General features: G+C 43.5%; 1 annotated feature.

Moving 5' to 3' along the window:
- Positions 13,200 to 13,705: an enhancer, noted in NCBI's record as "NANOG hESC enhancer chr5:153465203-153465708 (GRCh37/hg19 assembly coordinates)". NCBI's record gives its function as "activates a minimal SCP1, AML or CMV promoter by ChIP-STARR-seq in naive H9 embryonic stem cells {active_cell/tissue: H9 hESC(naive)}" and the evidence as "EXISTENCE:reporter gene assay evidence [ECO:0000049][PMID:30033119]".

Here is a 14,647-nt window from a genome sequence, read left to right on the forward strand (position 1 = left end):
TGAGACCAGACAATAGTACCTGTAGAGCTGGTGATGGCCACAAGAGGCCGCTGTTGTGTCGTGGAATGGACAGGAGAGCGGGCAGCTGCTCTTCCACAGCCAGCAGGCCTAGCAGAGTTTTGAGTGGGAACAGCAGGGGGGCACCTAGGTGGTCAAGCGGACAGCTGGGACGTGGAAACATGTTTATTATCGCCCCCCCAGAGCCTCGTGCTCAACACCAACCCTGTTGGCTCCTAGAGATCAGCTGCAGCCCATATTGAGTAAGCTTTTTGAAGGGAACACACCAAAGTGAGAGCATTTCAACAAATACTCAATGGGGTTTGATGGACGCCAGTTCCTGCAGAAAGCCGGCGGGAGAGAAATGAACTTGGCCTGGTCCTGGTACATACAGCCCAGGAGCTGAATTAGATAGAGTTGGGGAGTCACTCTGAGTTGTAGTCCAGAAATTAAATTTCTAAAAATTGCAGAGGGACAGGCATAGAGCCTAGCTTGAATGCTTCCCTTCCTGAATCAGGAAAGTTCCAGGGCCTGTTCTTTGCCCTTCCCTCATTAGTGCGGGATCTGGCCAGCAGCCCGCAATGCGACGGGGCTCTCTCTTTGTTCCTAGGTGGATTGGCAGGTTGAGAAATAATAGACACACACAAGATAGTGAAAGCTGGGTCCAGGGGGTCACCGCCTTTTGGTCCCGCGGTGCCACCAATGCACTGGATATACCAGCATTTATTATTAAGTTTAGTGAGGGCGGGGGTAGGTTAGTGAGGGATTTAGGGTCGTTTGATTATGAGGTGAGATGGTCACATGGGGATGAAGTAATTCTTTAACATAACATTTGTATGTAGAAGTACAGTGCATTTGTATGTAGAAGTACAGTATACAAATAATTTACAATATAGTGTGTGCATCAGTAATTTCTAACAGAGCCTTAAAACAGAAACACAGTCTTTCCATAATCTATGATTAGCAAGATATTAATCAGCAGTAACAGTTGCAGCAAAAGCTGGTTACAAACAATCCATAGAAACAGGACGTGAAGCTAGACAATCGGGTAGACCAGAAATTCTCAGAAGGGAGTATGCCTTAACCCTAAAAAGTCCTAGAAGAGCTGTGGCAAGATGAGGGCATTTATAGCCCTATCTTATCCATATGGACAGGCGCCCCCCATGCGTCCATTTATAGACTCTCCACAAGGGTCTCATTCCATTCCCAGAGCTATGAGCATCTGCTTTTCTGGGATAGGAATCTTGGTGATGTGAAACCTCCCTGACTGCACGTCCATTCTTAGGCTCTCTGCAGGGGGAAGCACATCACGCGCTGTTGGCTCATTCTGGCAGTCCAACCTGGCATTGTCTTTACACAATCCTGCATGCAATTTTGTATTTACAATAATCAGGAGCATTTCATCTTTTATTCCGTAGCAATAGTTTCAGGGGGTCTCCCTACACCTCATTAATATAGCCATCTACATATTCATATGCATATATATGTATATATATGCATATATTTACACATACACACACACACACACACGTGTAGATAACATAATATATAAAACTGAGACCCAGTTCTCCATAAAACTCACCCAGTTTTATTCTCTATGATACAGTATATAAAAGGTCTGGGCTTGGAAATTTTTTTTAAAAAAAGGGAGCCAGGCATAGTGGCTCACACCTATAATCCCAACAATTTGGGAGACTGAGGCGGGAGGATCACTTTAGGCCAGGAGTTTGAGACTAGCCTGGGCAACATAGCAAGACCCTATCTCTACAAAAATTTTTAAGATTTCTGTCCCACTTCTATCTGTGTGACTCAAGATTTACATATGAAGAAGGTGGTCAGCATACCTGTGTTCCCTACTTCATGGGTATTAATCAAATGATGAAATATTGTAAACCCTCCTTGTGAATTGTGGAAATGTCAGGATGGTTTTTCTTTTGTGTGTGTGTGTGTGTGTGTGTGTGTGTGTGTGTGAGAGAGAGAGTCAAAGAGAGGGAGGATCTCACGCTGTTGCCCAGGCTGGAGTGAGTGGCACAATCATAGCTCACTGTAGCCTTTACCTCCTAGGCTCAAGAAATTCTCCCACCTCAGCCTCCCAAGTAGATGGAGCCACAGGTGTATACCACCACACCCAGCTAATTGTGTGGGGGGGGCGGGGGGAACACACGCATGCGTGAGTGCATGCATTTGTGTAGACAGGGTCTCACTATGTTGTCCAGGCTGGTCTTATACTCCTCAAGTGATCTTCCCACCTTTGCTTCCCAAAGTGCTGGGATCAGGATGGTTTTTCTGATGATGGTGGGATGACTTATTAGCTTTTACTAGTGGCACTTGAAGCCACCAGGAATTTAACAGAAGACCCATCCAACCACAGATCCAGGGGAGCCACAGGATTTATTTGCATGTTGTTTGCATACAGTTTAAGAATAATAATATTATTGACCAGGCGTGGTGGCTCGCACCTGTAATCCCAGCACTTTGGGAGGCCGAGGGGGGCAGATCACCTGAGGTCAGGAATTCGAGACTAGCCTGGCCAACATGGCGAAACCCCATCTCTACAAAAAATACAAAAATTAGCCAGGTGTGGTGGTGGGAGCCTGTAATCTCAACTACTCGGGAGGCTGAGGCAGGAGAATTGCCTGAACAAGGAGGTGGAGGTTGCAATGAGCCAAGATCGTGCCACTGCACTCCAGCCAGGGTGACAGAGTGAGACTCTGTCTCAAAAAAAAAGAATAATAATATTATTAATAATAAGAGCTAAAATTTATGGAGCCTTTGCCATAGGCACTTAAACCCATTACATGTAATTTTATTTAATCATCACAACAAATATATGGGGTAAGAACTATTCTAATCCTCCATTATATATAGATGAGGAAACTAAAATTCAGAGAGGTTAAGTTGCCCCAAATGCCAGGCTAATTAATAAATGAGACTTGGACCGAGGCAATCAGCTCCCTTCCCCATCCTCCACGTCAGAGCCTGCTGAATGAGCCAGGAGGATGACGAAATCAGACTTCTCAGAAAATGGCAGCAGGATGTGGTAAACCCGCTTTGAATCTTAGGGTCATGCAGACCTGGTGTGCATTCCAGCTTTACTACTTCTTTTGTTGTTGTTGTATTTTTTTTTTTTTTTTTTTTTTGAGAGGGAGTCTCACTCTGTCACCCAGGCTGGAGTGCAGTGGCGTGATCTCGGCTCACTGCAACCTCCGCCTCCCAGGTCCAAGCAATTCTCCTGCCTCAGCCTCCTGAGTAGCTGGGATTACAGGCACATGCCACCACGCCCAGCTAATTTTTGTATTTTTAGTAGAGACAGGGTTTCACCATATTGGTCAGGCTGGTCTTGAACTCCTGACCTCAGGTGAACTACTTGCCTCAGCCTCCCAAAGTGCTGGGATTACAGGCGTGAGCCACCGCGCCCAGCCCAGCTTTACTACTACTGAACTGCATAAGTGGGCAAGTGATTTATCTCCTCTACACTGCTGGTTTTTCCTCCAAAAGATGAAGATAATATTTCCCCTGAAAGGAGGTTGTTGTGAAGATTAAATTAGATAATACTTAAAGCACCCAGCCTAGTTACTGTCGACATAGAGGTCCATTAAATATTAGTCTACCCCTGTGTCCCCATTAAAGATGAAAAAACCAAAGCACCAAGAGGCTAAATGTCTTAGCCCCTGTGACCCAGTGTGTTCCCCTAGACTTTGTAGTCAGTCCTCAGGCCATCTCCAGATGAGATTTTATCCTTGCTGCAGTTAGTAGTCTAGGACCTAAACTTTTCTCAGTTCTCTCTTAGCTAATTTCTGATCTTCTCCCTCCTGGGATCCTGAGAGAGAGAGAGCTACTGGAAGCCTTTATGCAGCCTCCCTCCTTTCTTGCTTAAAAGGATAAATGAGGGAAGGAGAGGCTAAAAGCTCCCTTGGTCATCAAGAGAATTAAGGCGAGGAGAAGGGGTAATGTGGAGGGCAGAGATCAGTGGCTCAGGTCACGCCTGCTCTCCAGTCAAGAGCCTCTTAGCTCTAAGCCACCCACTTAGGTACAGCAAGATTCACTTAGTGGCACAGTCTAGAGTCACATGTGGTATTAGAGCTGAAAAAGACCATAGAGATTATTACATTTTCAGCCAAGCTTTATATGTGGTAGATGAGGCATCATAGGGAGATTAACTTGCTCAGAGACTCTCATTAACAGAGCTGGCCTCAGCACCCCAGGGTCCTGGCTCCCTGTCCTCTTTGCCTTGTACCACTCTGACTCCCATGACCTTGCTAGTTCTCTGCAGAGCCATTGGCCCTGGAACTTGGCATAGTCAACGCTACGGTGGTGAACTTTACCCTCCCACTGCCATCTTCTCCCCAGTACTCTTGCTCTGCTGTGTACCACTTAGGCTTCTGGCTACCCACGACCCCACACTAAGGTGCCTTCTCTAGGCAAAAACCCAGGTCCCAAAGCTTCCCCTATGCCCATTTCTCTATCAAAACTCACCTTTCCAACATCCTAAACAACTGTAAGATTCAAAAGAAAGTCTGCTATGTAATAAACTCCCCCATGTTCATGACTGATAGTGGACTCAAATGGTTCTATGGTGGTTTCTTTTTAAAACTGATCTCCTAGAGAAATGAACCTTTACTCGAAGGTTAAGGCACTTAAGGTAGAATTCTGGGAATTCTGAAGCAGAAAATCCTCCCAGCACACCTCCAAGAGTACAGTTGAGACAACCACCACCATTGCCACCATGTGATACTAGTCCTGGGTTAGAGGTATGTGTGTTTTCAAGCACTATCTTGATAATGATCTGGTCTCTTTTATGTATCTGAGAAATGCCCTTCTTCTTATCATACCAAATCTAAAGGCATTCATCTCCATTTCCTTGGAGCTCTCTTTTAATCCATCTCTCCTTTCCACCCAGTGCCTGCAGTCAAGAGAGTGCAGGAAAGGCGAGGAGGGTCCCAGCTGCCCTGTTACTGCTTCTTATAGCAACTCCCGAGGCAATTACATTCACCCCTTTCTAAAATTCTCAAGCACCAAGTTTCAAATGCCTCATTCCCACAGGACTTTACCTCTTTCTTACAATGCTGTCTAGGTAAATGGTAATAATGAAAATGATGGTGGTGCCAGATGTAATGGGTTTCTTCTCCACGTTATGATTCATGGTGGTCTGAGGGATAGAAAGAGCCCATTTGGATAAGCACAGTAGTCAAGAACTGAAGTTTATGCCTGCTGTCTTGACATAATTATTAATAGTGCCTTTCACTCTCAAAAGTGTCCTGGTTTGGGTGACAAACTATTTGGTCATCCTATTAGGAGCACAGGCTTTGAAGTGGATTTGACCTGGGTTCAAACCCCAGCCTGTTTCTTACTAGCTGAATGACTTTGAACAAGTTACTTAAGGTCTATGAGCCACAGTTGCCAAATCTACTGATAGAGAATACTATTAGCACTGAGTTCACAGGGTCATTTGGAAGGACTGGCCTTGCACATTGCCAAGCACATGGTAAGATTGCAACGTGAGTCACCTCCAATTCTAAAGTTACAGAGCATACATTGTACAACTTCATTTGTGGACTCACCTAGGCAGGAAAGTAGACTCTTGAGGATGTTTTGCATTGGAAAAACCTGGACTTGTAACCAGACAGACTAGCATTCAAATCCCAGCTGCACCACTCACTAGTTCTATGACCCTGGGAATTTAAATGACCTTTCTGAGCTTCACCTTGTTCATCTGTGCAATGGGGATTAAAATCTCAGAGTTGTTGTGAAGGGAAAATAAGATAAAGGTATTAGAAAGCACTCCATATGAACTCAATAAATGCTGCCTCTTATCATTACATTTGCCCAGGTACACATCCAGGGTTCACTGGTAAGGGAAGAAGCAGATCTAGCCCTGTGCTCTTTCAGTTATATCTTATGGTCTCTGGGGACTGCATTCTTCTTCCTCCATTGATCAAAATGTTGTCCTAAGCCATCGGCATTATTTCCCACTCTAAATCCTTCTCAAGCTCTCCCCCTCTTTATCATGGAAATTAGAAACAAGAAAAGGAAGCATCATGATGACATGCAGCTGGCCCCAGGGTTTTTGGATTAGAACCAAATTTCATGTTTGTGGAACTGATGTCAATTTGCTGGCTATGTGACATTGGGCAAATTACTCCACCCCACTGAGCTGCAATTTCCTCCTGTGTAAAAAGAAAATAATACCCTTTGCAGGGTGAGCAGCAAACCCAAGTCATTCTAATTCCCAAGCCCATGCTTTTAACCTTTATTCTGCTTCAAGTTCAAGAGCTGTTTAGTCTCATGGCCATTTGGGCAGCAGTTAAGATGATAGCAGGTAGTGAGACCAAAGTTTCTGGACTAGAACCTACGTTTCAGGTGCATGGGATTGAATTCAAAAGATTGGGATTTGGGCTAAGGTATGAAGTATGACGCTACCTCATTCGAAAATAGTGTACAAAGCATCTGGCCTGTTTTTTGTTTTACATAACTATATCCCTGTAGCATAAACCATGGCCCACCAGCCAAAACCATCCTGCCACCTATTCTGGTAGCGTTTTACTGGAGCAGAGCTATGCCCATTAATATATGTATGCAATATGTCTGCTTCCTTGGAACTATGGAAGATTGAATTGTTGCAACAGAAACTGTATGGACTGCAAAGGGTAAAATAATGTGCTATCTGACCCTCTACAGAAAAAGGTTGCAACCCTGCTCTAGGGCATAATACCACTTTAAGTTTTAATAATGATAATTACAAGAATACGTGGTGCTGAGTGCTTACTCTATGCTGAGTGCCGTTCTATGGCTTTATATGTATATCTTATTTGTACTTGCAATAAATCCATGATATACACAATTATTCCTATTTTATGAGTAAGGAAACAGACAGAAAGAGGTTAAATAACTTGCTGGAGATCCAGTGGCTGGTAAATGGCACAGTTGGGATTCTAACCCAAGTAGTGTCAAGTATTACATTTCCTTGGAAGTTTGCAAACACATTTTCTTTCCTGATCAACTTGACCACTCATGATATGAGAGACAATTTTAGATGGTTCATAAACACCTTATTAAGAAACATCCTCTCCTATGGTGAGAAAGCCATTCCCTTTCAAGTTCACTTTAACATGACAAATCTCCCTTTTAACAGAGAGAGTGAACAGTCTTTTCACACACAGCAGTACCTTGCTAAAATTTAACTTCTAAATTAAACTTTTAAACTTAAATTTTAAATTATATTTAAAATTTAATATATTTAAAATGTATTGCTTCATTTCATAGCATGTATTTTTTGTGGTCACCTTTTATTTGTGGAAAACAATCCTTGTTTTCTCTTCACAGCAATTTCCTTTCAAAAGAAATTTATTTAAGGATAAAAAAATACAGTCGATTCAGATATTAAGACCATGTTAATAATGGTGCCGAGGGTGTGTAAATATGACACAAATCATGACCGTGGTACAGAAATGAATGACAGAGACCAGGCGCAGTGGCTCATGCCTGTAATCCCAGCACTTTGGGAGGCTGAGGCAGGAGGATCACTTGAGGTCAGGAGCCCAAAACCAGCCTGGCCAACATGGTGAAACCCCATCTCTATTAACAATACAAAAATTAGCTGAGTGTGGTGGCGCACACTTGTAATCCCAGCTACTCAGGAGGCTGAAGCAAGAGAATTGCTTGAACTCAGGAGGCAGAGGTTGCAGTGAGCTGAGATCGTGCCACTGCACTATAACCTGGGCAACAGAGCAAGACTCCATTTCAAAAAAAGAAAAAAAAAAAAAAGAAATGAATGACAGAGATAGGAAGCCCTGCCCAGAGCACTGGCCCAGGAGTAAGGTGTCGTAGCCCTCAGCCCAGCCAGCAGCAGTTTGGTATATGGCTGTGGACAGATTGTCCCCTCCCTGAGCTCAGATTCTCTATCTATTGAGTAAGGAGTTTAAATTAAATTATCTCTAACATTCTGTGGCATCCTAGTTTCTTCTTCTTGGCCTGGAATTTACTATACTTTAACTCGAGCCAATATTAAATGAGACGTGTTAGAGATCCACCCTTTCAAGCCCCGTAAAGACAAAGGACTCCACTGCACCCACTATGTCTTTTCCTCTTTGAGTGAGTCTATTAATTCCTATCTAGATTCCTGCCGAAAAAGGTGAGGAGATAAATGCATGTAGTGCAGGATTCAATTTGTGCTTCTTGCCTAGAAATTAAACAGGTCTGGGTTGGTCCAAGGTGTTTACAGGAGAAAGATAAGTTCTTTGACATGTCCTCATTCACAGCGATTCCACCTGGGCCCAGCAGGCCTTCTGATGGGTTTTCTCTCCCTTTGGAGGGCTCTGTGTCTGCTCACCCAGAGACAGCTGTGGCCATACCTCATGATGGCTGGGGAAAAAAAAAGAGAAGGATTTTTATGAAAAATTACAAGGTGCAGCACTGCAAATGGATGCCAAGCCTATATGAAAAGTAACCTGACTAGAAGCAGCAAGAGTGGAAAACCCCATTCTTCTCACATTTAAAAAAAGTTGTGGGGTAGAGGATGCCCAGGATAGGCCAGGTGCAATAACTTATCCTATTAATCTGCTATATTTAGTTCTTTTACCCCACATCAATCCTGAGAAGGAGTTATCATCATCATTTATTAATTTTATTACACTTTATAGTATAGATTAAGAAACTGAAATTCAAAAACATTTCATTTCTCTCATCAATACAGCCCTAATAGGTATAGGTATAATTGTTCCCTATTTTATATGTAAGGAACTTGAGATTCAGAAAGATTAATTCATGCAGCTAGTAAGGGGTAAAGCCCAGATTGGAACAGAGGTCTGACTCTCTGCAGGCCTTTTCTGTGCACTTCCTCACATGTAGCCTCAGGAAAACTTTATAGTAAGAGAAGGCAAGGGGCAAGAATTTCTCCTACATGTCAGATCATAGGGGCATGGACCTCGCACAACATCTTCATATTTCATTCCTCATTGTGTGTCAAGAATTCCTACGTGGTCAAAATGATGCATCCTTTTTCCCCAGGCATCCACAGAGATTTGAACCATCTGTCAGCCCTTCCTAATGGCAGCTGATGGAGACATCTGTGGCCAAAAGCCACCACTGCCAGCAAGGAGCAGGTTAAGAACCTGTTCTCTGTCTTGATTAAAATTCTTTCCCACAGGCTCTGCACACACTGTGAAGCAAAAGTCATCTGCAAGGCCCAAACCTCTGTCCTCAGGGAGTCCCCATCTGTAGTGGGCACTATCGATGCCCCAACCAGTGCCCCTCAGATCCCCTTTACCCCTTCTGTGATCCGTCTGCCAGCTTCTGTGTGCTCCGCTCCTAATGGCTCACATCTGTGACTTTCTTCAGAGGCCTGCCCTGGGGCTGCCGGATCTGCTCTGCCCTCACTTTTAGAGAGCTGAAAGTGTTCAAAGCCAGTACTGACAAGGGCAGGACTATGGAAGCCCAGCTCTCTTGCATCAAGTCAGGGCCAGGTCTAAGGTAGAATTTTCACTCCAGAGCTCCCCATGGGATCAGGCTGGGATGGAGCCCGAAAATGCATGCTTTGCTTGGCTTCTTCCCCGTCCTGTTCTGCTACCCCACTCCCTCACGAGTTTCTCCTCAGAGCACTCCCTTAATAAGTCACATGCAAATACAGTATCATTCCAGGATCTCCTTCTGGGGAACTTGACCTAAGACATCATTTTTCATCCATAGAAAAGCTACCTTCTTTTCTATGTCCACAGACTATCTTCACCTGAATAGACACCCCCTCCGGGCATCTCCTGAACCAGCCTCCCTGTGGAAGTTGTGTTATGGACATATATATGGTAAATGAGAGTGTCACTGTTCAAAGGTATCACCAGTCTTCTAGGCAACAATAAATTCAACCTGGTGGTGTCTCTGTCCATCTTATATATACAGCCTTTTGGATAAGAACATTTCACTACACATAATGCTGACTTTATCCCATTGCTTTAAAGAAAGAAAGAAAAGTAAGAAAATTGGGTAAAAGTTCTTCTCATCCATCCACTTATTAACTAGGTAACCTTTGATAACTGACCTAACCTTTATTTTACTTAAAAAGGGAAAAGGAAAAGGCCTTCTCTCTGATTTAAAGTCATGTGTGTCCTTCATAGAAAAATTTAGAAAACTTAGAAAAGTACAATAATCCAGACACCCTCACCTCAACCAGTACTTTTTGGAAAATTTCTATCCAATCTTCCTTTTCTCTATGCAGATATTCTTAATTGTGATAGACATTAATTGTGTTCATCATCTGGTCCAGATAATTATCTGGTATGAAGAATGGCCTACCAGACCTTAAATCTGCTACTGTGGACTGTGAAGCTTCAAACTGAGATTGTGGCTACTCCACCATCTCTACCTCAATGACAACAATAATAGCAGAGTCCCCTGCCAACTCAAAATGAGCATATAGTATATGCAAGAAGCAAACTGTTGTTTCAAGCCATTGGGATTTAGTAGCTGTATTCGTTTGCTAAAGGTGCTATAACAAAGTACCACACACTGAGTGGCTTAACATCAGAAACTTATTGTCTCACGGCTCTGGAGCTTAGAAGTCCAAGATGAAAGTGTCAGCAGGGTTGGTTCCTTCAAAGGGCTGTGAGAGAGAATCTGTTCTGTGCCTTTCACCTAGCTTCTTGTAATTTGCTGGCAATTTGTGTGGCATTCTTTGGCCTGTAGAAGCATCACCCCACACTCAGCCTTCACCTTCACGTGACATTCTTTGTGTGTGTGTGTGTGTGTGTGTGTATACACATGCATGCATGCACATGTGTCCAAATTTCCTTATTTTATATGGACACCAGTTATATTTTATTAGGGCCCACTCTAATGACCTTATTTTAACTAATTACATCTGCAACATCCCTACTCCCAAATAAGGTCATATGAGGTACTGAGCATTAGGGCTTCAACATGTGGATTTGGAGGGACACAATTCAACCCATAACAGTGGATGTTTATTACAATGGTATAGTTTAGCCTATACTGGCCAATGCAAGGGATTCTTCTTATGCAGTTTTTTGACCTCCTATTTTCACTTCATAAGCTTAAGTATTTTGCCCACAGTCACAATACCAGTAAGAGGGAAACTGGAATTCTAATCCAGGTTTTTGATTTGTTAGCCTGTTCTTTCGGCCACTCCCTGGGGTTAATCCCTTACAGTGGAGGTGCTTTGTAGTTCCCATAGTTCTCGCCATTCCCTATTACTCTCAGACACTGAGTTTAAGTACTATCTGTCTTTAGGCTTGTCCCATTGACTTTCCTGTACACAGCCCAATTTATTCATTTACACTGCCTGTTTTCCCCCTGTGGACACTGCATTTGCAACCTTGCACTATGGTATAATTCCTTCCCTTTATTATTAAAAAGGCAACTCACACCTTTTGAATTCACTTTCCAGGTCACTAAAAGCCCTAGGGTTATTAAGACAATCTGCACAACCCTCGCCCTGTATTATACCTGTCCCTGATTCTCTGCTCCCACTTTTCAAGCACAGCCCCATGGACTAGGCCCCATCACCCATCTTGTACTTGTTTTCTGCCAAGCAAATTTTCCCTCGAAGGAGTAAACCAGGAATAAAAATATTTGATCAATTCAAGCAAATGGCTTGTCAGGAAATGGCACCTCCTCCTGTGTACATCCTTTATAAGAGATTCTCCCCATTACAAGGAACTCGATCAAATGGCATTTTCTCTCAGTCCTGATGTTCGCATTTCCCAATGCAGAGAAAAGAAGAAACCCTGCTTTGTGAGGCTTATGCCCAGGCAGTGAATCACAGAAGCTCTTCAATCACTTACTGCTTTCTCTCTCTTGCCATTCCCATTGAGCATGATGTCTTTTTCATCCCACACCGAGGGGCTTTGTGTGTGTGCCACTCCTCATTAATTTGATCACAGAGGGAAGATTTAAGATGTGATTCAAGTAAATGAGAGGTTCTCCAGAAGCTATCCACGTAGAGGCATTCTCTTCTAAGCTCTCATCCATGGCTTTGAATTCATTAGCTCGGAGTACACTGTGCCTCCAAAGAGGCAGGTACACTGAGTGTACACACCCTGGAGAGCCTGACTCTGCAGACTGGCACTGAGTCACCTTCTCCTAACCCAAGTTGACAAGACACATGTTGTGTTTACTCCAATTTTCTCATTAATTTCTCTGGCTGCCTGACAGTCTCTGCCTTCTCAGATTAGATTTCTGGAATTAGACTGATCTTAATGCTGCAAGAGAACAACAGACCCTATGCCCTCCTTCCAGGCAGAAGTCCCCATCCCCATTTTGCTGATTAAGGCAACTGAAGCCCTGCCAGGGAAGACCTTTCTAAACTGTTGGGGAGTTTCGAAAGTGTTGGGGAGACTAGCCTTCATGTGTAGGTCAAGTGCTTTGCCTAACCTGCAAGACAACCTCACCAAAACATTTCTCAGGCTGCCTGCCTCTGTGCTGCAGTGTACAACATTAGTCCAGGTTTACATCGGGTATTTTTTAATGCAGCACTTACCTGGAAGGATTGCTATAATATGCCATTAATGCTTAACTGTAAATGAATTTGATCAAATTGACCTCAGCCTCTGATAGGGTCAGCAGGGACAAATTCTAATGATGGAAAGGACTTCAAAAAAAATTGCAAAGGCAGAAGTAATAAGGGCCCCAGGCACCAGGAACAGCAAATGGACACTGGGCACCCAGTTAGGGAGATGAAATGGAGAAAGGCCAAGAGAGTCCAGAGAGATGGAGCAGACAACTCTTAACCACCCAGCAACCGTAGGAGGACTTGAGATGTCAAACACATTTCTGAATATCCAAGCTAAGTGACTTTGAACCACCCCCTTAAAAATCTCTGGCCCCACTGCAAGTATCGAAAGGAGATAATAATGGCTTATTTACCTAAAGGCAGAGGAGTGAATCAAAGATCCCTGGAGAACACTTCCTTCAGGAAGTTTGTATAAATCAAAGTGAACTCCAGTCAATAAAGAAATCCTCTGGTTTAACCCTTCCCAGCCTTAGCATCATCTTTAGAGCCAGACAGACTTTGTTTTAATTCTGAGTTCAGCCACTGTGTAACACTGGGCAACCTTGGATGGGTCCCTAAACCTCTTTAGGCCTCAAGCTTCTTGTCTACAAATAAACCATAAAACCTACCTCACTGGGTTGTCAGACAGTTTTAATAAAACAATGTGTGTGAATCCCTTAGTGCCACGTTGGGCACAAAATAAACACTCAGTAATAACAGTTTAGCTGCCGTGTATCATCCTCATCCTCTCAGACCCACCAGTGTCTTTTGGTAGGTGATAGCTCAGCAAGGTCATGGTGAATGGCATGGGTTCTGGAGTCAGACCATCCTGGTTTCAAATACGGGCTCCAGTGAGAACCAGGTATGTGACCTTGGGCAACTCATTTATACTGAGTTTCGATTCTTTCATCTGTAAATGGGAGTGATTAAAAATGGCTTCCTCTGAGGTGAGGATTAAGTAAGACAATACACATAACTTGCTGAGAGTGGTGGCTAGCACACCGTAAGAGCCTAGTAAATAGGAGATGAAAACTCCCTTTCTCTTCCTCTGCCTTTCTCTCTCTGTATCTCTTTCTCTCTTTGCTGACAGATGTGGTTGAGTAGGGAGAATGAGATCCAGTTCTATCGATGATCAAAGGTAGATGTAAAAACCTTGCTTTTCAACCAGAGAGACAAAGAAGACCCAGTGAACCATCTCAAGGAGCCAAATCTGGTTTTATCCAGCTCTTGTAGTAGTGTTCTGGCTTTTGGGCTGCAGTACAGAAAATTAGTTCCCCTGCAGTCGTCCCCTTCAGAATGGAGCTAGGAGAGATAAAGAGTGGCTAAAGAGCTCTGAACAATAGCTAATCCTCTAATTAGCACTTCAGAGAGTAGTGATAACTGGAATCCACTCTCAGTTCTAAGCTCCAGGGAACAGCAGGGTCTGACCAATGTTTTCCTGGAATCATACCCAAAGCCAATGACCTCCTTCCTTCTAAGTTTGAGTCTCCCTCCTGGAGCGTTGCTCTTTCCCTTTCTTTTGTCGGTGCCTCTTTCTTTTTCCCTTTAGCTCTCTGTTTCCTTCTGGCTCTCAGAACTACTCTCCTCTCCCAACCCCTGCAAATTTTCCCACCTCTTTCTCTCAAAACTACCATACTATGAGGTACTTGTATAATTAGGTGTTCATTCCTTAATTTGTGAGACATTTACTGAATATTTTCTAGGTGCTAAGAATATAGAAAAGAATAAGATGGGCTCCCCGTTCTCAGGGCAATGGACTGATGAACAATGGAAGGATCTTCCAAACAACTATAATATGGTCCGACAAATGCTTTTCCAGAAGTACACACAAGCGTGGGTGTATACGGCAAGTGCCAAATTCTGGCTGGGTGGGGCCCAGAGGAGCAGATGTTGGGCTTGAGACATGAGGAGTGAGTCTAGGTTTTAAAAATAAATGAATCATTCAATCAACTGTGTAGTTCTTGATCCTCATTCAAACACCTGTGACTTAAACATGCATTTGTGAAACAGAAACCAACATTCCTAAACTAACTGACATATGGTGTGTGTAACCCCCACTTTTTCCCTCCATATGTCAGTGACCAATAGGAAAAGGAGCTTCCCTCCTGTGGGGCTCCTTAATCCAAATGGGTGACTAAAGTGAGGATGGAT

The sequence above is a fragment of the Homo sapiens genome, chromosome 5, assembly GCF_000001405.40.
Source record: "Homo sapiens chromosome 5, GRCh38.p14 Primary Assembly".
Lineage (NCBI taxonomy): Eukaryota > Metazoa > Chordata > Mammalia > Primates > Hominidae > Homo > Homo sapiens.